We start from the raw sequence: 27,064 nt of genomic DNA on the forward strand, positions 1-27,064 counted from the left end.
AAAAATCTCAGATTACTGGTGTAACATAACATATTCCTGAATCAGAAAGCTCACTATAGTAAATGTCAAATTGATTCAAAACTTTAGCTAGAGAGTAAATACTCCAGTATCCTTAAGAAATTTTTTAAAGAATAATAAAATAATAATAAAACAGGAGCTGTCCTCCTGGATTTAAAAATGTAAAATAATGCTACAGACATTTAAAAATCTGGCCCTGGTATATTAGAATAGATAAATGTATCAATGGAACAGAACAGAGAGGCCAAAAATAAACTCAGATGTATATGGGAAGTCATCTATAAAAAAGGTGGGACTTCAAAGCAAAGTTTGGACAACTAGGCCATATAGGGAAAAACCCCAATCATTTAAAAAACAAATTTCATATGTATGAAGTATCTAAATTTAATATAATAGATAATATATGTAGATATAAACACACGTATAATATACCAGAAAATAGAGGTGAATACTTGTATAATCTTGAAGAGAAAATGGCCTTTCCAAGTATGACCCAGAACTCAGAAGCCACGTAGGAAATACTTGGTTTGCTGATTTGTTTACATACAATAATGTAAATTTCCATGCAGTAAAAGGCAGTTCAAAGCTGAACTACATGAATCACAGCCAAAAGTTGACAGAAAATATTGAGCTCCTCCTACAAATCAAGAACTAAGGCAAAAAACCTAATAGAAAAATGAGTGAAAGTTATCAGCAAACAATTTATTGAAGAATACCAATGGCCAATTGACATTGTTTTATTAAAATTGTTTGTATTGAGTTTTGAGAATGTAAATATGTATTTTTCTCTATAAAAATTGTTCCAGAAGTTTTGAAAAATATGTATTTTAAAGTTTGACTATTAAAAATCAGGAAGTGTTCTATCAAAAAAAAACTGGTAAGAATTTGCTTGTGTAGTCTTTTTCTCTCATTTTTCACAAAGATATTCTATTTATACACTATTGCTTTTTTCACTTTATTTTATAGACACAACACACAATTTTAGATTAAAAGAAAGTGAAAAACAGAATATATATTAGGAAATTAGTGGCTGTCTCTAGACAGTTGGATTATGGATGATTATTTTCTTTTTGTTTATCTGTATTTTCTAGATTCCTTATATTCTGCATTAAAAAAGATTTTAAGGGTATAACTTGAAAAAAATGAATTACTTCAACTATTCTTTAAAAAATTACTCATGAGACATCACTCTTCAAACAAATCAGATAACTAAGTCACTATATTGGTGAAAAGATAAACTCACTAATTCATAAATGCAACATGATTCACATATACATGGTCCTCCAATCAATCATTTGTATATTTAATTGAAATAAATTATTGACATTTACTATGATAATTCTACTAACAAAAGCCTTAGGATGTTTACTTCATCATGTAAAAACCATTTAAACGCAAGTGAAGATATCTTTAAGTCAGAATTTCACAGTTAAGGCCAGGCATGGTGGCTCATGCCCATAATTCCAGCACTTTGGGAGGCCAAGGTGGGTAGATCACCTGAGGTCAGGAGTTCAAGAGCAGCCTGGGCAACATGGTGAAACCTGGTCTCTACTAAAAATACAACAATTAGCCGAGCATGGTGGCGCATGTCTGTAATCCCAGCTATTTGGGAGGCTGAGGCGGAGGCTGCAATGAGCTGAGATCACACCAATGCACTCCAGCCTGGCTTACAGAGAGAGACTCTCTCTTAACCAAAAAAAAAAAAAAAAAAATTCACAGTTACACTTACAGCTAGTTAAAAGAGTTTTTCCTACTTATTAAAGTATTTCAAACAAAGCTTTGTACACTAAGAAATTGACAAACAATTTAAAGCACAATCTTGCAAAGACATTAAAGCCAACAATAGCCCTACAAACAACAGAAAATTATTGTAAAAATAAATCTTGAAGATGGTGCCTATTTTTAAACGATCTATTTTGTTTAAGTTAGCACTGGGGAAAGAGGGGCAGAGCAAATCTGTAATCCAGATCCACAAAAGAAATATTCAACACAACAAAAATTTAAATGAAATACTTTCCAAATCGACTAACAGGAATAAAACATAAATCTGAATTCACGATCCAGAAAAATGGCTGAAGAGTGGCTATAATATACAATCTCTTGCAATTAAATAAAGTCAAAGTCATATTTGAATTAGGACATAAACAAAACAGAATTTCAAGTAATTCAGCAATGTTTTTGCCTTCATAGTCAAATACAATTCTGCTGACAGCATAATTTCTATCATCCGTGCACTGGAGTCAAGTGAATATAAAGATAGAGAAAATGCATTTTCTTGTTTAGGAAAAAATAGATTCGAAATTTACGGGAACAAAAAACCTAGTGCTTTCCCAAATTAGAGGAAATTTGTATTAAAAGACTGATTGTAGCTCAAGGGTCAAAAATCCTACAGAATCTTGTCCCATCTAAAATCCACTTCGCCATCTCTTCTCAGGCTCCAAGTGCTTTCTCTTGCGGGCTCTCTGCTCAGCAGCACTTCTCAGCTGGCCGCTGGGTCTACACATGCTTTGCTGACACTGCTTAAAGAACCAAGATTAATTTTCTATAAAGTGTAGGTAGATGGAGAAAAACCAGAAGGATTCACAGGACTAGTCTGTCATTCTAATAAACAGAAAAGCCAGAAAAGAGAAAGAGAAGGGAAAAAGAAAAAGGAAGGAAGAATGAAGAAATTGAGATGGGAATTAAAAAGAAATTATTCGGGCAGATAGGGTAAGGAAGTCCTTGGTAAGGTTTCCCTTTTAATGAAAAGCAGTTCCAAACTTATTTCTTTTCTCACAAAGAACAGCCCACAAAATCGAGCTGCAGACAGATAAGTAAGCTAGAAGCTTGCACAGGCGAATGCTGGCAGTTGTGCCAATAGGAAAGGGGCTACCCGGGAACTAGGCATGTTCAAAATGGCAGCTCCATCTTTCCTTTTCCTTGCCAACCACGTGTGCCGTAGGGAGCAGACAACATGGCTGCAGGTCAGGCAAGGACTCCATTTGCATCATGATTAGGGTGGGGCTGCCAGCTTCCCTGTGTGCTGTGTAAATGTCACACCTGGTCCAACCAATCTATGGGCCCCATGTCACTCAGACACCACCTTCTCAAGCCGGTCTATAAAACCTTTGCGCGCGCGCTCTCTCTCTCGCAGGAGAGACAGCTATTTTCCTTTCTCTTTCTTTTGCCTATTAAACCTCCCCTCCTGAACCCACTTCTTGGTGTATCTGCGTACTTGATTTCTTTGGCGTGAGAGGACGAACCTACGGTATTTACCCCAAACGAGGCCGCTTCAAAATCATTGATTCAAGTGAAGATATCAAAGCATGTAATTAACAGTCTACAAAGCTTAAATCAGCTGATGAGGGAGAGTGTGCGGTACCACGTAAGGGCCAGAGAAGCTTCCCCAATTCCTGAGTAGGTAGGCTTCAGTCATGCACCATTATTTCTCCACCTAAATGTGGGTCCAGGGAATTGAGTCCAGACAGGCCCATCTGCAAAAATGTGAGGTGAGTGTTACAAATGTAGGACTGGAAGACAGACATCTGAACATGTGATGTGATAAATGTTAAAGGAGAAGAGATTACAGGATGCCACGGAACACATAGCAGAGGCAACTCATTTAAACTTGGGGGAAGGAAAATATTTTAGCTGAGACTGAAAGCATGGGAAGGAGTTAGACAGGCAAAGCAAGGAAAGGGTGTTTTCTTTGAGAAAAGGGAAATGGAATCTGTAAATGCCCAAAGGCAAGAAATGTGTTAAAGATGGAGTGAAAGTAGTCTTGGAGGAGAGTACTGGAGACCAACCAGGTACGATTGGACCATCGGGATACTGGAAGGGCTTGGAGGTCATATCAGGGACAATGGGAGCCACAGAGAGTGCAAGCAAATAACTTGAAAAAATAAAAATCACTTAATGACTGGCACTATATATAATTTTACTTTTAAACTAGAGGCAATTAAGAAAATTTAGACTAGAGGGTAATTAAGAGCTTTGCAAGGCCCCAAGGACATTGTTATGGCTTTCAGTCATCATTATACTTTACTGGAGATGAACCCAGCACGTCCTACAAATGACCTTTTATCACCTGATATATGTACTATGATTTAGCTGTTTCTTACAGAAGTCTTTTTTTTTTTTTTTTTTAAGTTCTGGTTATTTGGACTACTGGTTGGTTGGATCACGAATAAATAAATGCTTGTTATATTTTAGAAAAGTTAGAAGTGTAACTATCAAATTTATAAGAATTCCTAATACTTTATAATTCCAAATCTATAAACTAGTACACTCCAGATCATTTTTGATCATGTATTTCATCAACAAATTGTTTTTGAGCTGTACCTGATACATACATCATAGTAATAGTACATAATTTCAAGTATAAATTACTATTATGCACATTATAAAAGATTTATGTATATTTTAAAATATATACAAAAATAGAAAATAAAAAACAATGAGAAAAGAAAAAAAAAAAAAAACAAAACCAGAAACTAATAGAGGAAATAGAACCCTCCCAAGAGGCAATCTTGTGGACCACTCTGGAAACCACATGAAATATTTTAATAAGTGATTCCTGATTTTTTTTTCATATAGACAAGTTCTACATATGGGATATTTTATTTCTGATTTGAAGAAATATAATATTATGCATGCAGCATTCCTAATTCTTAATTTAAAGGCACACCTTAACAGGTACTTAATCAACAGATTCTAACTATTTTCATTACAAAAAATATTCCAACCACAAGCATCACTGAGATCACCATTGACTCTTGAATGGATTCAGTGTATTATGTCACCACATCCTGGACAAGGAATTTCAAACATGTACAGTTGTATGGCCTTCTCGAAGCCTTATGTTTCTTACTGCAAGGAACAGAGAAGAATAGATAGATTTAATATTTAAAAAATAACACTAAAGGCCTCAATAAAAGAAAAATAAAGACGGAAAGAAGAAAAAAATGTGTAGTAAAAAGGACCATCATTTAAACCTCTCCATAAGCTTCCTAAATAAAATAAATAGTTCAGTATTATCTTTCCCTTATTGAGTAACTGCCTTTAAACATACCACTGAATATTCTGCTGTAGTGGCCAGACCATGGGTCAGGTCTGTCCGGTTTGGATCCAGCTCTGCCACTTACTGTGTGATGTTAGGCAAGTTACCTAACCCAAGTCTTTGATTCTTTATTTATAAAATGGGTTATAGCAGCACCTACACCTCCTAGGATTCCTGGGTGTATTACATTAAATAATATAATGTGAGGTGCTTAGCACGGTGTCTGGGCTACTGTAAGTACTCAATAAACCAGCATAATTGTTCAAAGAAGTAAAAGGATATGTGAAACAAAACATTGCCTTTTCTGATAAAGAGCCCAGGGTTAATGTAAATTATAAACACTTTTTTTTGCTCTTGTTCTTACAGAATTTTTGTCTCCCTTGGTGATCACGGTGTCCTTTCAGATGTCTGTCTGAATCAATGCCATTTTTTTTTAGATTAAAAGGTACAGATAGGAGGCTGTCAAACTTGCTCTGCAAATGAGCAGAGTCCTGAGGGCCAAGGGGATGGATGGATAAGATAAAAGTAATTAAATTACCAAATGTAGTGGTTTCTAGCGGCAGTCTTTGCTTATGCCAGGAAGAGTGCCCAAGGTTGAAAAAGCCTTGAGAGTGGACGGGTAAATGAGGTGGAAACTTCAGTTCTCAAATATGGGAGCCAGCAGCTACAATATAGTTACTAGGAGACAAAAGAGAAACAGTTTCCAGGAGGAAGAAGGCTGGAAAAGTACAACGTACATGTTCACGTATTTCTTTCCTAAATCTAGTATTTACCTGTACACATACTGTGCTACTCATTCTCACAAGCTATCTTTCTCCTCCTGTCTTACAGATGAATCAACCAAGGTTTGGAGACAATAAACTGCTCACCCAAGATTATATAAAGAAAGCAAAAATTGCAGTTAGAAGTGGCATTTGTTGGTTGTAGTAACAGTTATCATAATCTGTGCCATGGATATCAGAAAGGCCAAGTGTGAAGGAGCTGAACCAACTAGAAACTGATTTTTAAGTTGTAGGTTTAAAACATACCAGTTGATGGACAGAGGCCTATTTGCATTGATAAGTCACTGGAGTAAAGAGGTAAAAATCTTAAGAGATTTCACGTGGCTGATTCATTGCTACAGAAACAACTTCCTTGGTATCTGATGGTTATAAGCTTAATGACTCTTGCTTTGTTTCCATGAATGAATTGGCATCATTATGGAGAACTGAGGGAATGCAGACTTTCAAGGCAGGGAAACATTACATTTAGCTCATATACATGATAAAAAGAAACAGATTGTGTAATTACTACACATCTGTGAGCACATTTTTTTTTTTAAATAGAACTTTTCCTGAATAATTAATCACATCTCTTGATTTAGGCCTTGGTAGTTTTTAATAAATTTTAAATATTTATACCGTGTTGCCAACTATTTAATTGCTTACCAACTGCACAATATACAGTCACTTTGGGAGAGGAATCAAGAGGCTGATAAATAAAAGGGTGCTATCCACAGGCTGAAATTTTTTATCCTCACCTGCAATTAAAGTACCCAAGAATTTTTCAAAGCTACCTTTCAGAAGTGTTTTCAGATTTTATACAGTCTTCTTAAAAAAAAGTTCTGCTCCTGTAATGTTGTTGAAATATATTTGGACACCTAAAGTGTGTGCCATAAAGACTGCTTTTCTCCTAGGAACATTATGCCTGTAATTAGTAGATATTATCACGAAGATGATAGAATTTAAGTTTATGGATTGGGACCCATGCAGTACAGAAAGCCCGGCAACCAATGACTAACCAGTCCGGATTCACTCAGCCTTTGCTACCAAAAAAAATCTTAGTAAGCTAGACACAAAAGGACAAATATTGTATGATTCCATTTACATGAGGTACTTAGAATAGGCAAATTCACAGAGACAGAGTTAGTATAGTGATTACCAGGGTACAGGGAAGAGAGAAATAAAGATTTGTTTAACGAGTATATGGTTTCAATTTGGGATGCAAAAATGTTCTGAAGATGGATGATCGTGATGATGGTACAACAATGTAAATGTACTTACTGTCTCTTAGCCGTACATTTAAAATAGTTAAAATTGTAAGTTTCATGTTATGTATATTTTCCCAAAATAAAAAATTTTTAAGCAATAACACCACCAATAGTATTCACTAGCCTTGAATGCCCTGCTATATGATATGCTAAGTGCTTTTCATGAATTTTGTTATTTAACCCCTAAGTTAAGCACTGCAGAGAACATGATACAAAAGCTTAAGTTACCTGCTTAAGCTTTACACAGGTAGAAAATGGCAGAGTAGGCTTTGGACCTAAGTTTATTTGCAAAGCCCACACTATATCATTATCATTATATGTTTAGGACTTTATAGAACTTTTTAAAGTTTAGGTGAAACTCTCATTTTTATTTTTTCATATCAAATGAAGAACAATGTTTAAATAAATAAAATCACCAAGCCTCAATGTTCTAATGCCAACAAGTGGCCTTACTGTCAGCTGATCTTTTTCTCTTCTTAAACTCTCCTTCATCTGTGGAACCTCAAACATACAACAAAGGCAATTCCAGGCCTAGCATCCTTTTCTCTGATAGTCAGTTGTAATTCTGACAATAAGAGGGAAGAAGAGAAAAGCGAATTCACTCCATTTCCCTAGCTGTCCTCCACTATTGGTTTCAGATCATGCTGCCACTTATGAGCACCTGATTGCCTCTTTTTCAACCTGGGCCAGTTCACTCCTCCTTAGACAATCTTATGGGACTCTGCTCCCAGAAAATCACCATATTGATGCCAACCTTAATGTGGACCCCGGATTGGCATAGCACACTACAGCCAAGAACTTCTGGCTTAAGCCATCCTCTCACCTCCACTTCCTGAGGGCCTCTTATATGATTTCTAGAATGGACTTCTGTTAAGTTTGTTTTTGCCCCATATCACACCCTGCTTCACAAACTCACTTCTTCTCCCATGGGTAGTCCCACCAGGGGCTCTACCTCCTTGACAGGCAAGTGACCCCAAGAGACAGAATCATTTTGAAGAAGTAGATGTTGATCTGCTGCCACTTAGAGAGAGCTTGCTTGAAAAGAAGCCAGTACCTAGATCACCAGAGCTGAGAGATGCAGAGAGTCCTGCTGACATTGTCTAAGAATGTCTGACCTTTATTCCAGGAATGGTTGGCACAAAATGGGTGTCCAATTATATTTTATTTGAAATAACATTTCATCAGACCACTTTATCAGAACTCCAAGATCTTGATTTCTGAAATGAGGCCTTAAGTACAATCTTTTCTCATTTCATTTCTTCCGTTTATTTATTCAATGAATATTTTATATCACTGAATTTTGTTCTTATGACACAAGAACATAAACAGATAAGTATGATATTCTGGTAAATGCAGTGTCAGAAACATAGAGTATTACGGGAGCACAAAGGAAGCACCTCAACCCCTGTGGGAGGAGCACTGCAGGCTGAGGATGGAAGGTGCAGGCCCCAGTAGGGTTGTGCTTGGTGGTTTAGGAACACCAAGGAGGCCAGCTGGCCTGTCTCCTTCGCTGCCCAACTTTTGACTTTCTCCTCCTGTTAAGGTGGTTAACCAGGTAATGTGATGAGGCCTATTTTTATCAAGCTTATCTTTATCCTTTCTTCCTTGTAGGTCTCTTTCACCCTTCCTGCTATGAGTACCTATGAGTAGAGTACCCTAACTCTAAACCTCCAGTCCTAATCTCCGCACACGACTCCAAGCAAGAATTTCCGATTGCTTTCATTAACTCTCCTCTTGGGTCTCTCCCTAGTTTCTCCAGATCTCCATGCTCCCCAATGAATTCAACATCCTCTCCACCTCACAGCACATCCATTCACCTCGTCTTCCTGGTAATATTTTCCCTGATAATGGCCCACTTTATTAGGTCTATGAGGTTTACAAGCTCTGAGTCACCTTCTTTGCTTCCCCCTGCCTTGTATTTCATATGTCATCGGGTATTCAGACCAGATCACCAATAGTCAAAGCTCCCTAAACAGTCCCTAGCAAGTCACTAAACTAGATCAGATGTATGTAAGTGGACATTCTCTGGCTATTGCAATCAAGAGGAAATGAATTTTTCCTCTTTGATTTATCTGCAACATGTTTTATCTTTACCTGGAAACTTCTATTGAGAAGACATCTGGAAAACCACAAACCACACACTTTCAGATGAGCTTCCATGATTAATGCATTGTGAAAAAAAAAATCATTTTAAACACAATGAAAACATTTGAGTGTAAGTGTTCGTGCGTCACTACAATCTCATTTAAGCCAATCCGGATTACCAATTGGGTTCTCCTGAGCTGTTCCTTTGGTGTCAGAAATTCTGAACTATTTTATCTTTCTTCATTAATGGTACTAAGTGATATAAAGTCTCCAACACCACTTCAGTGCTACTCAAGGGCTCCTGAACAACACAAATCATTCCTTATCAAGACAGTATACACATTCTTTCCATCATATTTTTTTAAACTTGCAAGTATCATTTCTTTACAAAGTGTTCCCGTATTAACCTCATTCACCCTTAGGTACTTCAACATTTAAGCCTAAACATTTGCCAATTCTGATAATTGGGAAGTAGACAGTTCATAAGAACAGTAAAAAAAAAAGTATCAATAATAATTAAATGAATTCAATTTTAATGATGTAAAGACTTCATTTTAACTCTAACTAGGATAAATGTTGCCTAATTAGCAGTTAAGAATAACTGACATGCAGCATAACAAAATATCAATGGAAAAAATTAAGTCTTTGTACTCAAACCATTTTTCATATGTAATACTTAGACAAAAACCAAAATAAAGTAGAATTATACAAGGTATAAGAGTTATCCCTTGTCAGAGGATTGCTGAATCTGAAATTTTATTTTAATGTTAGCTAAAAATTAGAAAACATATTTAATATATTTCTAAATGTTTTCTTTGCTCTAGGGTGTGTGCTTGTCAAACTTTTTTGCTTCACAGCACATGAGAAAACCATCATCTTTGTATAGCACACTGGTCTAAGTGGATGAAGCTTCTCACAGATAGAAGAAGAGACCTGGAATGCTGGGCTCCAGGTCCTGTCCAGCAACGTCAAAGGCTGAGGGGATCAGTACCTGGGTATACCTGTAGCACATTCGTGGCTGAGAAGCTCTAGTCTAGAAAATGGGAAGGCATATTTCATAGTGGTCCTAAGATCAGTTCTAGAATCAAACTAAAGGACTTCTCAGTCACTAGAGCTCACTGCCCTTCAGTTGCTTCATCCATAAAGGTCTAATAAAGTCTACCTCATATGGTTAAGGTTATTCCTCTTAAGTGCCTGGAGAGTTGGAGCTTAAAAAACATGACCTGTTGCATTGTTCCAAACCCTGGGATTATCCCAAAAGACTATGGTTAAGCCAGATCAGCTGCAGTGGAACAGAAAGGCACACAGCTTCCCAGGAGATGAGTGGGTGGATCAGGAGAGAAAATGCTACGTAGTTACTGTGGAAATCTCAGTGCTCTTCTCCTGAGAGCAAAGTCACAACTAAGCTAGATGGTGGCATTTATTTTTCCAAAGAATAACTCCAGACATTAAGAAAGTATAACTCAATGGGCAAACAATCAACTTACAGGATTCACAACACAGATCCTTATTTCAGAAATAACTCTATGTTCTACATTAAAAAAAATCATTTAAATTTTTTTTTTTTATTTTGACCATACCAGCATGTAAACCTAAAATAACATGGGCTTTGCAATACAACTTAATATGAAAATTTTATAAGATTGAATGTAAATTTAATGAAGTCAACAGGTAATTTTACTTATGAAAGGGGCCATAACATATGAAATAAACAGAGTAGTTGTTAATATGGAAGGAATGTTAATACTTAAATATTAGATAGAGTTTAATTCTCAAAGTTTCCATCTCTACCTTGTATGTGTAATTAGCATCATTTAGTGAATTCGTATGTTCTGTGATAGAAGGATATTTAATTAGTACTTTACTTTCCACTAGATAAAATTAGAACATAAAATCAGTATCTGAAATCTGCTGAGAATTATTTTGAGTTTTCTGTGTTTTCACGTCGATAATTTGCTGCAAAGAAATTTCTTTATAAAATTAAAAAATAATTCTACTCTAGAATAATATAAATCTCAAGAAGCATTTTTATGCATTTTCCTAAGAAGAAAACTCAAGATGGACACATTTTCAATATCAATTTATCAAGGTACCTGGGCAAAAATACTAGGATACATTTATTGTCATTATTTCTAGTGACAGGAATAAGTTCATATATCCGAAGCAAGAGATATCACATGACATGCTCGATAGAATTTATCCAAATATGCTTTGACTGAGTCCCAAACATTTCAGTGACTTTTTGTTTTATATTGGCTGGATTGTCAGTATTCCTTCCCAGTTACATATATAATGACGGTAATAATATTCAGCTCATTTATGCAGCAATTTCTCCTGGAAACATAAGTGCATTTTTTGTAATTTTTATTTTTTTGTTTTTGTTTTTTTGAGACTTAGTCTTGCTCTGTCGCCCAGGCTGGAATGCAGTGGCATGATCTTGGCTCACTGCAACCTCTGCCTCATGGGTTCAAGGAAGCCTCAGCCTCCTGAACAGCTGGAATTGTAGTTGCCCGCCATGATACCTGGCTAATGTTTGTATTTTTAGTAGAGACGGGGGTTTCACCATGTTAGCCAGGCTGGTCTTGAACTCCTGATCTCAGGTGATCCACCCACCTTGGCCTTCCAAAGTGCTGGGATTGCAGGCATGAGCCACCATGCCCAACCCATTTTTTTGTAATTTTAATAAAAATTTAGAGGCAACAAGCCATGCTAATTAGAAAAAGGTATTTTTAAGTTTAGGAAAATCAAGCATTTATTTTTAATTGAGTAGTGTCAAGCCAATCACATAATGTTCTTTCTACTAAATTATTTCTATCATCAGAGGACAAAAATATCTCTTATTACAAAGGCAAAGGGACAATATTTATTCATTTATATAATCTATATGAATTATTACTATGTGTCATTTAAACATACTTAGAAATCATCTTGATAAATATAATGATTCTTTGGAACCCATTTAATTAATATGAATTTTTAGTTCCACAAAGAATGCTTGCAGTTTTAAAATACTGTTTTAGGGGAGATATTTTCAGGGTAATTGATGTATTTTTTCCTCATTTCTAAAAATCTGTGTCTATACATCTAAAATAAACTCCTCTCCTTTTTGTGAAATATAAAATTGTCTAACATAAAAGTAGATTTTTAAACAAACACTGGAACTACTGAAAGTACAAGCAAGAAAATTAATTTCTAAATCCTAATGACCATATTTATTACATTGAATTCTATAATAACACTCCTTAATAAATTTACTTTAAAAATTCAGAAAGTTTCTATCAAATTCACAAGAAATTAAATGTTTTTGTTTTCAGTAACCCAGAAAAAGCAACATCCTTAGTATAGCATAATTGTGAGTATTAAATTATATACCCTGGCATTTACATAACACGTTAAAAGTGAAAAATGATTAATATCAACACTTTTAAATATTTATTAAATCCAATAAAGTAAGCAAATAATATTAACGTTTGAACTGTAAAAAGTAATAATAATTTTACTATTTCACAAGTCAACAAATGTATAATATATCTACTAGGTACCAGGCACTGTATGTACTAGGTACTGCCATATGGTAATGACCAAGACAGAGAACAAGACAAATGCTTCTGAGAAGGCAAGGATGTTGAAGCAAGAGAACTTGAGTGTACCTTAGTAGGCATCGCTAAAGCTCCATAAAACATTCTATTTCCATATATCTGCCTCAGCTGAACCCTAATTGGAGTCCCTGGTCTACTCCAGAAAAAGAGAAAGCAATTGTGCACAGGCTACACAGAGAAAGGAAAAGAAATGAAAAGAGATTGGCTTGTTTTGCTCTGTGAAATGGTAAATATTATCGAGTAACCCAATATACTACTACTGATTTCACTATTAAGGTTTTGAATTTTAGAAATTAGAATAATATGCAACAGTACATTCTTCAAAACAGATAAAGTAGGAAGGTTTATAAATATAGCCTAGACATTAATTTAGAACAAAAAACTTCTTTACAATTTGATTTCCAAATAAAATCACAGCAGACCTTGTTTCTTTGAAGTTGACAGTAAATAATGTGATTTTAAAGGTCATCTTGTTTCCAAAATATGTTGTGCACTGAAAAAAAAACTAAAGATAATAATGTATATAGCACAATCCCATTATAGTCAGTGAAGCAAATGCATACAAACATATTTTTATATACTTGTACACAAAAAGAAAAAACTCCAAAGTATTTTACGCAAACTGTTAGCTGTGAATTACCTATACCTGCAAAAAAAGATGACTGTTAAAATACCCATTAAAATGGTAATTTAAAATACTACACTGACCTAAGAAAGAGCATAATACTAAATAAAATGGAATATAAAATGTAATAAACACGTGTTTCTGCATTAGACAGTATGTATAGAATAACAGATGAGAATAAATTAAGTATTTTATGGAGGTGGAATTAAGGCTTGGATTTTCAAGTTAAAAATTTTAAATTTATCCATGCCCCTTCATTCTGGTAGTAGCATGTTATATTTAATTTTTCCCGTTTTAAACCTCTGATTTTTCTTTAAACTTTTCAAAAGATTGTTTTCTAAATGCTATTTATTGATATTACCTTTTAAATATAATATATTCTATGTACACCTAGGTCTCATTCTAGACTTTCTCTTCGGTTCCATTAGTCTATTTCTTCTGATTTCCATGACTTTACATATTAAATTTTGGTACAGGAAGTCCTTCTTTATAATTTTAAAGCTTTCCTGGCCATTTTCACAAAATTTTATTGCAGATGATCCTTGCATCATTTTGTTAATTAAAAAACAAGAACAATGCTTTGGAATATTTATTGTAAGGAAACTACATTGATAGGATAAGTTGAAAGAAATCAATACGTGATGTGACTCAACTGGCCTCTCTCATCTCACAATAAAGGCACAGTCCTGGCTACTCATTCCCAACTAAAAGTTAGACATTTAAATACAAAACAAATATATAATAAGCCCTGTAAGAAAAGCAATAGGGCATCTTTTTTCTTTTTTATTCTAAAGGGGTGATATGAAATACAGTAAATCATAATAAGAAAGGTAGTTCTAATTTGATTACAAAATTTAAAAATGCTTTATCAAGGGTTGATATGTGCAGCAAACCACCATGGCACATGTATACCTATGTAACAAACCTGCATGTTCTGCATATGTATTCCAGAACTTAAAGTAAAATAAAAAAAAAATGCTTTATCAATCCAGAGGTTAAAAGACCTCGAATTAAATCAGCTCATTTGTCAGAAGTATGAAGCCAAGAAATTCAATGTACTCAAGTGTTACCAAATGGTAACAGCTGCACCTAAACAAGCTAATTCTTAACTTATTAGTCAAGAGTAACTGACACTCAAAAAAGACTAATTGTAATTGTTTTGTTGTTGTTTGTTTCGAGACGGAGTCTTGCTCTGTCACCGAGGCTGGAGTACAGTGGCGCGATCTCGGCTCACTGCAACCTCTGCCTCCCGGGTTCAAGCAATTCTCCAGCCTCAGCCTCCCAAGTAGTTGGGACCACAGATGCGCGCCACTGCATCCAGATAATTTTTGTATTTTTAGTAGAGACCGGGTCTCACCATGTTGGCCAGGCCGGTCTCAAACTCCTGACAGGTGATCCACCCGCCTTGGCTCCCAAAGTGCTGGGATTACAGGCGTAAGCCACCGTGCCTGGCCACGTAATTGTAAATTATTTGGTCTCTTACACCTTAGTGAAAATATTTGAGCCTCTTTTGTCACTGGATGTTCCTCCATACAGTGTGTCCTGCAGAAATGGTCATTAATTCTGTCACTTAAAGAAAGCAAAGCAGTGAGGAAAGAAATTCACGTTTCTCAAGTGTCTATAATGGATAGCTTAGGTCGTCTGCGTATGTTATCATCACTTCATAACTTTTGGTGGTGGGGGGGAATGTAGCACAAAAATTGTGATCCGAAGCCAAATCAAGTTTCACTTCTCTGACATCAGAGTTAACTCATTGAGCACTGTAATTCAGAACCTTAGGTTAAAAGACTAGTGAAAGTAGTTCCTATATACACTTCAATCTTTCCATAGTATTACAATTGTTTCTTTTGATCTGTTTGAATAAATCCTTTGTTTCTAATTGTGTCTATCAAATTAATAAGTACAAAAGGTTTGTAAGCTAAATTCGAAGAATTCCATTGATAACATCTGCTCCTAAGTGTTTAGCACACATTTTAACCCTGAAAGCATATTATGAATACATGCATCTCCAGAACTTTATCATTTCTTAAACTTGAAACTAATGCTAGAGCAAAAATTATGTCTGACCTAATGTCCTATATATACAGCCAGGAGATATGATAAGGCTTGCAACTATTCCTTAGGAATAATTTTCCTTTCTTTTCAATTACTTCTTATACATGTCTCTGTATTTTTCAAGATTTTGCTTTTTTTGCTGAGTAGAAAGTGTATCTACTTTGACATGTAACAAACTTTTCTGTGTATCACTAACTAAATACCCTAAAATTCATTTTTATTTCAATGGCAAAGATTTAAAACTAAGGAATTGTGGCACACGCGCACACACACACACCCCATATATATATACCATGAGTCTCAAACTATTTGTTATTATTAGATATGCAATTTTCCAAAACTTAATATTTTTGTTGTTGTTGTTGTTTGAGACGGAGTCTCGCTCTATCACCCAGGCTGGAGTGCAGTGGCGCGATCTTGGTTCACTGCAACCTCCGCCTCCTGGGTTCAAGTGATTCTCCTGCCTCAGCCTCCCGAGTAGCTGGGACTACAGGCGCGTGACACCACACCCGACTTATTTTTTGTATTTATAGTAGAGATGGAGTTTCACCGTGTTAGCCAGAATAATCTTGATCTCCTGACCTCGAGATCTGCCCGCCTCGGCCTCCCAAAGTGCTGGCATTACAGGCGTGAGCCACTGTGCCCAGCCCAGCTTAATACTTTTAAAGAATTCAGCTTTAATCAAATTGTATGTAGTTTAAGTAGTTGTGGAGTAAAACTTTCAATAAATTAGGAAGTTCTAAAGGTGCTCTGGAGCCTCCCGTATCACCAAGGCAACACAGGCTGGATGCTGTTCTGTCACTGCTTCTGCTGGCCTCCTGTTGCCATTGAGTTGACTAGCATGGAAAGCACAGAATGGGACAAGGAAATACTGAAATGCTTTGCCACTAACTTTCTCTCACCCTAGGAAATACCCTTTTTTCAACATGAAAAATCTGAACTAGATAATCTTCATTACTTTCAGGTTTAAAACATGTTTTTCTAAAATTAAACTAATTTTAAAATAAATTTCACTGGAATAAAAATGCTGACGGTAGAGAACACAGAATGAGTTTTCTCTAAGCCCTGCAGTTCTCCAAGGAGGGTATCAGATGTGTTTCATCACATGAATCTTTTGATTTTTTTTTTAGGAAATTAAAGAAAAAATGTTAAAGCATCCTAAGATTGATTAGAGTTGGAATTATATTTAACCCCGGGGACAAATCAGTTACCTGTTCTAGAGAGCCATGATTCTGCTAAAAAGGTGGTTGAAAACTAAAACAAATTTAGACTGAAATGGACCTTAGGTAAAGGATCTCAGCCTCCACACTGTATACATGTGGAATTTTTTTTTTTTTTTTTTTTTTTTTTTTTTTTTTTTTTTTTGAGATGGAGTCTCGCTCTGTCGCCCAGGCTGGAGTGCAGTGGCACAGTCTCGGCTTACTGCAAGCTCCGTCTCCCGGGTTCACGCCATTCTCCTGCCTCAGCCTTCCAAGTAGCTGGGACTACAGGCACCCGCCACCACGCCCAGCTAATTTTTTGTATTTTTAGTAGAGATGGAGTTTCACCATGTTAGCCAGGATGGTCTCGGTTTCCTGATCTCGTGATCCACCCACCTCGGCCTCCCAAAATGCTGGGATTACAGGCGTGAGCCACCGCCCCCGGCCCATGTGGAAATCATTTACTTGCACAAAATTATGTAGCTAACTGGCAAGAGTGAGAATTAAAATGCATTATGTTTCTTAACTCCCAGACCAATGCTGCATTTACTTGTATAATACCAGTATCTTGTGATATAGGCTAAAGGTATCTCTAATCAATGAGTTACAACACACTAATATAAATTATAGAAGGTTTATCTCTCTCAGTATTTAAGTAGGCTTCACTCACTCCTATCTTAACTGAAAAGCCCTTCCTCTGCGGTTTTCCAGTCTCACCCTCTTACTAGGCATCAGAATTAGCTGGAGCTCTTACATAGAAGTCAACGCCCAAGCCTTACCTGGAAAGATTATGATTAATTGATGGTAATGGCCAGGTATAGGCTATTTTTTTTTTTTTAAAGTTCTCCAGGTGACTTTAATATGAGAGAACTACAGTCTTACCGTGTCTGGAATTGCTGGGTTCTTGGTCTCGCTGACTTCAAGAATGAAGCCACAGACCCTCGCGGCGAGTGTTACAGTTCTTAAAGATGGTGTGTCCGCAGTTGGACGTGCCCGGAGTTTCTTCCTTCTGGTGGGTTTGTGGTCTCACTGACTTCACGAGTGAAGCTGCAGACCTTCGCAGTGAGTGTTACAGCTCTCATACGCAGCACGGACCCCAAAAGTCAGCAGCAGCAAGATTTACTGAGAAGACTGAGAGAACAAAGCTTCCACAGCTGAGTAAGATAACCTACCGGGTTGCAGCTGTTGACTGGGGCGGCCTGATTTATTCCCTTATCTGGCCCCACCCACATCCTGCTGATTGGTCCATTTTACAGAGAGTTGATTGGTCCACTTTACAGAGAGCGGATTGGTCCGTTTTGACAGAGTACGGATTGGTGCGTTTACAATCCTTTAGCTAGACACAAAAGTTCTCCAAGTCCCCACCCGTCCCAGAAGCCCGGCCGGCTTCACCTCTCACTGGCACTTACCATGGGGACTGTGCGGCACCTAGCCTGGGCACTCTGGCAGCCCAGAGGGAGCTTGACCACTGATCAAGCTCAGGAGGCGCCAGCCAGCCGTGCGGAGTGCAGGCCCGCTGAGCCCGCGCCCACCTGGAACCCGCGCTGGCCCGCCAGCGCCTTGCGCAGCCCCGGCTCCCGCCCGCGCCTCCCGCTCCACACCTCCCTGAGCAGAAGGAGCAGAGGGAGCCGGCTCCGGCCTAGGCCAGCCCCAGAGAGAGGGCCCCCACAGCGCAGCGGCGGGCTGAAGGGCTCCTCGAGCGCGGACAGAGCGGACGCTGAGGCCGAGGAGGCTCCGAGAGCGAGGGAGGGCTGCTGGCATGTTGTCACCTCTCATTACCTCTTTCATCTTTTCCCATTCCTGAGCTACTGCTTTCTCGTTAACTCAGTCTGACTTTCTAACACTTACAATGACATAATAACTATATTAAAAACTTCAAAAGAGGTGAAATTTACAGTAAAGGGTAAAGAAATTCAAGTCTCTGAAAAGCAGGCCCTTTTCTAACAAGCCTCAATGTTTATATTGTATTCTTCCACTGCCGCTGCTAAGCTTATCTAGAGTGGTCTACATTTTCCCATCTCCCATTCGCAACTCAGCACTGTGGCAAGACTTCTGTGTTCCCAAGTTGTGTGTAATTACTGCCGGCAAGCTACCAATGACTGCTTAAATTGTCAAACTCAATCAGTGTTTTTAAGTTAACACGTTTGGCCTCTCTGTAGTATTTAACAGCGTCCTGTTTCTCAACACTTTCTCTTAGCTGTTTTTTTATCTGACTCCTTTGTGGGACTCTCATGCCTGGCCCTAGTCTTGGTCACCATTTCTTCTCACTTGGTACCAAATCCACACCAAACGCTTGATGTATCACCTATGGATGTTGATAAATTTTCAAACCTCTATCTCCAGCCTCTATCTCTTCTTGAGTTTCAGCTCCGTAAGTCCACTTACCCAGTGTCTCTTGATTTCCATGGCACATAGGCATTTCAAATAAAATATTGTCTCCTCTGCCTCCAAATTGCTCATGCTTACATCCCATCTGCTATAGTTTAAATGTGTGTCCCATCCAAAACTCATGTTGAAATTTCATTGCCATTGTAACAGTATTAAGAGGTGGGACATTTAACATGTGATTGGGTAGAATTAATGCTGTTATAAAAGGACAGGTTCAACCCCTTTTTGTCTCTTGGTTCTTCTGCCTTTTGCTGAGTAACCAGCCTTTCTCCACTCCAGAGTCTGCAAAGCATAGTTTTGGAAGAAGAGAATGGCCTCACCAGACACCAAATCTGCCAGCCTTGACCTTAGACCCCAACCTTCAGAACCATGAGCCAATAAATTTCTGATCTTTATAAATTACCCAGTCTCAGGTATTCTGATATGGCAGCACAAAACAGACTAAGACACCATCCATTCCAAAAATTGAGGAGCCATCACAGCTTCTTCCCTCTTTTGACACCATTCATCCTATCCTTGCCAAATTTATTTTCTTTATGCTAATGGCTCTCAAATATAACCACTCCCTATATTTGTTGTCATGTCCTATTTCTGGCCTTCATTATTTCTTCTGTAGTCAGTCTTCAGACTGGTACTTTTGACCCTCTTCAATTTCTCCAAACTTCTATGAGTGTGATTTAAAAATGTAGACACAATTGTCACTTTAATATCACCTCATCCATACATATAAAACCCACACTTGTCCACGTGCGGTGGCTCATGCCTGTAATCCCAGCACTTTGGGAGGCTGAGGTGGGTGGATCACAAGGTCAGGAAATCAAGACCATCCTGGCTAACATGGTGAAACCCCGTCTCTACTAAAATACAAAAGAAAAAATTAGCCAGGTGTGGTGGTGGGCGCCTGTAGTCCCAGCTACACGGGAGGCTGAGGCAGGAGAATGGCGTGAACCTGGGAGGCAGAGCTTGCAGTGAGCTGAGATTGCGCCACTGTACTCCAGCCTGGGCAACAGAGCGAGACTCCATCTCAAATAAATAAAATAAAAATAAAAACCCACACTTGTTTATTCTTAATATTTTACATTACTCTATTTATATACATGTTGTAACACGCAGACATACACACACACACCCCTATATGCAAATCTCCAGCCTCAGTTCAATAACCCCCTCTAGCCCTCTATGTTCTAGCTATACTGAACTACTTGCCATTCTCTCCTGTGCTTTTGTCTTTAGAACACCCTTCCTCCTCTTTTCCCCTTGGACTATTTGTGTTTATTCTTCCAAATTCAATTCAGCAACCACTAGCTGTAGCATACCTTCCAACTCTGGTTCAACCCCTCGCACCCCCAGTGCCCTCTGTCCCTACCTCCAAAACGGCCTTTGCAAAAATTATAACCGTGAAAAAATTATGACAGTAAAATTATGACAATCTAACCAGCTCCATCCTGTCTTTGACCTCCAAACTGGGTCATTCCCGGGTGTGGGCCAAGCTAGCTAGGAGAAAAATTTAGATTATAGTTTAAATAATAATAGCCCCTCCCAAAACTAAATCACCTTTATAAAACTAATAAACATTTACTAGATTAAAAAAATAAGGGCCTAAATTCTGCTAAAATATAGGCACAGTTAAACAATTACCCATCATTATTCTAAAAGTCACAAGATTTACAACTTCCTCAATTACTTCTGTAAATAACATCACTATTATAAAACTGAAGACTGACCCTTTGAAATGTCTTTTCAGGCTTTTGCATTTCTGATGACCAGATGTCCCTACCTGAATCTGTGATTCTGACTCAGTTGGTCCTGTGAATCCTGCCCAGAAGTGAACTCAATGCACAAAGCCAATTTTCCATACCTCTATGATTGCATCCCTAACCAATCAGCATTCTCCATTCTCTAGCTCCTGCCCAGCAAACTATCTTTGAAAAACCCTAGCCTCCACATTTTCAGGCAGGCTGATTTGAGTAATAACATAACTCCAGTTTCCTGTTTAGCTGGGTCTATGTGTATTGAGCTCTTTCTCTATTGCAGTTCTCCTGTCTTGATAAATTGGCTTCATCTCAGCAGAGGGCAAGAGGAACCCATTGGGTAGTTACATATTTGGGAGCTCATCTGGGATAGTTGTTGCGGGCACCTGCCTGCAGTTTGGCAGCCCCTCACTGGTGATGGGTCTGGAGGCCAGCCCAAGTGGCCACCTCAGTCTATTGGACTAAGGGCTATTTCTGGCACTGCAGCTACCAGCGGGGTGCTGTTGACCTATAGTGGATGGATCTAATTGCAATGGAGAAATATTGGTGAGTATTCCAGGCACTGTCAACACCCCCTTACTTCTCTCGATCTGTTGGCCTCTCTAGAGGCATTTATTATTTTTTCCTCCATTTTTCCCATCACAGAGACTGGCTGTGTAGTCTATCATGAGGACTGTTTGGCTCTCCGTAGATTGTAGGAAGAGTTTTGCTGTGGGGATATTTCTCCCCAAATGTATGGAGAATAGGGGACCTGTTTGGAGGAATATTCTTCTGGTTTGGAATCTGGTTTGGAAGGTCTTATGTCTTTAATTTGTTGCGTGTGTTTATGTAAAGGAGATCGCTGAAGGAATTGCTGGTTGAAGTCTAGCAGCCTCTCCTAGTTTGTCTGGTGGGTCACATTCGGTGAGCCCTGAAGGAACTGTTAGCAGGAGTTCAACAGGTCTAACTCAGGGTGATCGTCTGCTCTTCCATCTTGCCCAGAAACCACCTGTTGAAATTCCTGGTCAGAAATCATCTGACTCCACTTTGAGTAGATCAAAGATGTCAAGGTCCAATAGGAGCAACTTTGAGGCTTGCCAGGTCGATACTCAAGTGCTGAGTGGGGTGACTGGTGTGTGTTTTGTTATGTGTATTTTGTTCCAGTCAGAATAAGATATGTTAATTCAGCTCCCCCATGAAAATTGAGAGGCTTTTGCCTATGGTTCCATGAAGTGGAGAAGGATGACTTCCTTTTGTAATGCAGCTTGGCCCCTCTATCTATGGCACAGCAAACATAGTCACCAAAGTCACTCAGAGAAAGGGAACCTGGAAACCTGTCAAACTGGCAAAAGGGTAAGTATTTCTTACCAGGCAGGCTTCTGGCCTCTATCTGAGCAAACCAGTTGGTTGAATGAATGGTAACAAAGAAGTCTCCTCTGCAAGGTTTTGATTAATAGGAAAAAAGATTTGTGAGACTAGACTTAGGCTGTAGCAAATCTGGTGTATTTTGTACCAAAATTTGTCTTTCTGTGTTGTTCTATTGTGGAGAGGGGTACCACAGAATAGAATGTAGGCCTAAGACCCCTATAAACCCATTGTTCGAGCCCACCCTGAAGACTGATCGGATACAAACTTTGCTGCACATCCCTGAAACAAAATCATGAGGTTTCCCTCTTGTCTTATGACCTTAAAAACTTGACTTTGTGACTACATGGAGGCACTCTCTCTTGGTCTCTGCCATTTGGCGGGAAAGAATTTTCAGGTTCATGTCATGGCTAGCCTTAAGAATTCTCTTGAGCAGTTAAAATCCTTTACAAGCTTAAAAATGACCACTCTAGACTCCTTCTGGGAGAGCAATGACAATTGTCCCATGCTGTAGTTCAGTAGCTAAGGCACTGCCCTTTCACAATGGTGGCCTGGGCTCAATTCCCAGATTAGGGAACAAGTCCTTTCTGGTTTAAAAATTGTGGGACTTTTGCCATTTATTATTTTTTCCTCCATGTACAGCTTCTGATATCCTGTCTTAAATTTTTCTTTCCCTGAGCTACCTTTAGGGTGATTTTAGATCTTGTAAAGCTCACTTGCCATCTCTTTGGAGACACCTCATGTGTCTGTGGTTAAGTCATAGCCTGAGTTAAGGATTATTAATTTTATGTGGGAGGTTACCTTTGGTAAAAAATTCAAAAGCTGAAAATATCCACTGTTTGTTCCTGCTGAAATCTGGTAATAAGAAATTTTTTTAAAGGATTTTTTTTGAAAGTTCTGTAGTTAAAATTGATTTAATTTGGACTATATGGGTACAGATATTGTTTTAAGGCTCTTGCTCTCCCTCTGTAAAAACTACTCAGTCAACTGAATTCTGTTTCTCATTTACTCCTGTTTGTCCCTCCTTCCACTGTATCTAATCTCTGACTTTTGGGGGCACCAGGATTAATTTGCATTATGAGAAAATTTAACCTTAATGTATAATAGCTAGATAAGAGATATACTTTTTTAAATGGCTGATGTCAGTTGCTTACAGTGAACGATGATCACCACAGGGTTGTACGTCTTTCTTTCTATGTTGAAATAAGGAAAGCATGCTTGTAAACACCTAGAAGGTACAGAATGGAAGATGGGGTGATTATAGCGTAGGCTGATTGGCATTGGGTTGCCAAGCGGCCTAGGAGAAATGTCCTTTCAATGAGATACACTGTGGAATGATTGCACTGTCTTGTCTTATAGTATTTCCCTCTTTTGGAGACCCCAGGATTTGGTGTAAAAATGAGATCCTTGATCTTGGGGATCTGTTTTGCCTTCCAGCTGTGCCTGCTTATTGGACCCTAAAAACTGCATGCTTTCCTGACCCTGTTCCCTAAAAGACTCCAACCTGAAGCCAATAATCCAATCAAGAAACAGATCTTTAAAAAGTCTCTCTGTGTAAGGTGGAGGTTGCAGTGAGCTGAGATCACGCCATTGCACTCCAGCCTGGGCAACAGAGCAAGACTCCGTCTCAAAAAAAAAAAAAAAAAAAAATCTCCCCGTGTAAGCGTGTCTGTTTTTCCTGGTCATCTTGACTAAACTTTTATCCACACCATTTTCCCTTGGTTTAAATAAAATATAAGTTCTTTATTTTGTTTCACCTAAAAATTATCCATTTAAAAACACAAATTTAGAATTGCCTGGCTGACAATTATTTAGATCAGAGAACAGATAATCAAGAGACTAATGGTCTGAGGTCAAAAAGGAAAACTTAAAAACTGACAAAGAATCTTATCACAGTTAGCCAGGCAGGGTGGTGTGCACCTGTAGTCCCAGCTACTTGGGAGGCTGAGGTGGGAGGATTGCTTGAGCTCAGAAGGTCAAGGCTGCAGTGAGCCATGATTATGTTAGTGCACTCTAGCCTGGACAACAGAGACACTGTCTTAATTAATAATAATAATAATAACAATCATCATCATCATCATCTTATCCCCCCACCAGATCTGCTTCTGTCTATTTATATATGCTGGGAACATATTTTGTTACCAAAATACATAAAAGAACTGTAATTAATTGGCTTTAACAAAATTCTGTATATAAGCAAGTTGGCCAAAATTAAAAGGATATTACTTAGTTCTTCCATAAATTAAAATATTAAAATAAGAGTACACTGATGCAGGGCCAGAATCTAGGTCCATCTGTCTAAATAACAGAGTTTCCTTAGAACACTGATATTCCCTTTAATAAAAAATTAGAAAGGATTATAAAAATAGACATAAAAATTATACCTCATAGTCAAACTAATTAAAATTGGACAGATTTATTTACAAAATATTAAAAATTGAGTATAACATTAAGAATACACTAATGCAAAATTAAAATTTGGCTTTCTCTTTTAAATAAGATTTTCATAACATTGAGAAATAAAAAAAATTTATTTGTCATTTAAATACAGGGGAGAGAGAAAAGACAGTTTCAGTTGGCTTCATGCTATCTGTATTGGTCTTAACAAGTTGAGACTCCTCTCTATTAACAAGTAAAGATTTTTGCCTTTTTGAAATTTTAAATTATTATTTTGGCTAAATAAATGACTTACAATGACCTAGAATTCTATTTTGTGATATCAAGTGTTAAACGTTAGATATTTGACAAACATTCCAAAATCAAATTCTGACTTAAGTATATTTTTGACCTCATTAACTTTTAAGTATTAGGTCCCCTGAAGTCCAAAAGAGACGTATTTGACTTATTTGGTATACTAAAATCATACAGAGAGCATTGTCAAATATAAAATGGTATTCAACTTTTTTTTGGCTGCAGTCAATAAATGTGTTATTAATATGTGTTCCAACATTATATACTTTTCCTATAATTCTGATATGACTGAGTATATGTTATAAATAATAATAATTACTATATGGTTATGTGCCATAAAAATGACCAGGTTTCCTTTTCAGTTGCATCTTTAACTGTGGCTGTCCTGACTTTTGTCTTCCACAGATAACTGTCTTGTTTTGATCCTTTTCAAAAGGCGGTTTATAAGCAGCTATAAGATGCTAATGGGTGCTCTTGGATGCAGGTGTCTGATAATTGTAGAGACTGTGCCATTAAAATGAAAAAGAAAAAAAAATTAACTTCCAGGACTGTCATAGAGAGCTAGTGTGTTCATGAGGACTGCTGGTCCAATACTGGGCAAAACAGGAATTGCATGGACTGAATTAATAAAAGACCAACATCAGGTGCAGTGGCTCACATCTGTAATCACAGCACTTTGAGAGACTGAGGCAGGAGGACTGCTTGAGCCCGAGAGTTTGAGACCAGCCTGGGCAACTTTGGGAGACTCTGTCTCTTAAAAAAAAAAAAAGAAGACTGAAATAATATTTATGACATTTTGTTTAAAATATTGCTAATTCTTTTGTTTTGCAGAGTCTAGAAAGCTTTTTTCTTTTAAGCTATTTACAGAGTATACTCATGGAAGTAAAAGTTAAAACACATTTCTTTCTATCTTATTTCTCCAGAATTTAAAAACTATTTGTAAGCATATACTTAATTTATAACAGTATAGTTACATGCATAAGTTCAATAAAAATCTGTTTTCTTTTATGACAAGATACCACTGGTTATTTTACCAAGGCTTTGACTAGAATGGCATGCTTTCAAATATAAAGAGACTGCTTTAAGGAATCAAATTGACTTACAGAGTTGATAAAAGCCCCTTGAAAAAATCAACTTCATACCTTGTCTATCTAGTCCCTATACAGGGTTCCGACCTATGATTTAAAAAAAGAAAATCACTTTCTGATAGGCCTGGGAGCCTCAAGTTATCTTGGGACCTGGAGAAAAGAAAAATTATCCAATTCATACAACTATTTGCAGGCACAGATAAATCCATGGCTGGCTCAAGGCTTTAAAAATTCAAATCTGCAATTCCTTATTTTAAAAAGTTCCAGCAAAGCCAATGTTTAGAAAGCCTGTATGGCAAATAATTGTTCTTGCTGCACTTAATGCAAATAATCAAGCCAAGTATTAAAAAACTAGACTCATTTTGCAAATAAATTTGTCCTACTATGATTTGTCGTTAATAAAATAGAAACTGGAGAGAGAAAAACATTATGTTTCAAATAAAAAAACTATAATACATCTGTTTTTAGGTTCTAGTCTTGTCCACTGTTTTGGGGTTTTTATTATTTTCTGCAATTTGGACTGAATCTTGAATTCTTTCCAGGCTACAGGTCCCTAAACTTAACGTTTTCAAATTTTTCTTCCATTTTTCTGACAATGACATTGCGACTACCTTTTCCCGAAGACCTTGAAAGCTAGAACTTATTCCTTGTAATACAGGCAAGAAAATCATGTCAGATCAGACTGCCACCACCTTTTTCCTCTGTAACTAAAAATGCTTTGAGTCTAATATCTGGATAAATTGTACCCAACATTAACCTTGGCTTTTATTTCTATAAAAATGCCTTTTATTAAAAACTTTTGCCTTCATCATATATAGAGGCCTAGCCCATCATATATAGAGGCCTAACCTCCTGAAATGAGACACAGTTGTTTAACTGATCTAGTCACAGAACTAAAACTGACTATAAAAGATATGGTATATTTAAATGTACTCTTTCCTGTTTATCCCAATTTGTCTTTCTAACAACCTCTGACCCAAATCTCTCTCTACTAGCAAACTCATCTCTGACTGGCTCTCAGGGCTATTCACCAGAATCTCTCAGGGCCTCAGATGAATTCTACAAGAACTCCTGCAGCCAGAACTTTTGCTTGTTATATTAGGCATGCAGACAGCTGCAAAGCAGTTTTATTTCTCTTACCCTGGGACTAACCC

At 37.5% G+C, this 27,064-nt stretch overlaps 1 long non-coding RNA gene across 1 annotated transcript; it reads right to left on the reverse strand.

Moving 5' to 3' along the window:
• Positions 1–4,537: 4,537 nt before the first annotated feature.
• Positions 4,538–17,826, reverse strand: LINC01030 (long intergenic non-protein coding RNA 1030). The gene is made up of 3 exons (NR_104062.1): positions 17,531–17,826; positions 5,595–5,734; positions 4,538–4,866 (listed from the first exon to the last, which is right to left on the reverse strand). It is a non-coding gene; the product is annotated as a long intergenic non-protein coding RNA 1030 (long non-coding RNA).
• Positions 17,827–27,064: the final 9,238 nt, after the last annotated feature.

The sequence above is a fragment of the Homo sapiens genome, chromosome 8 (assembly GCF_000001405.40).
Source record: "Homo sapiens chromosome 8, GRCh38.p14 Primary Assembly".
Classification (NCBI taxonomy): domain Eukaryota; kingdom Metazoa; phylum Chordata; class Mammalia; order Primates; family Hominidae; genus Homo; species Homo sapiens.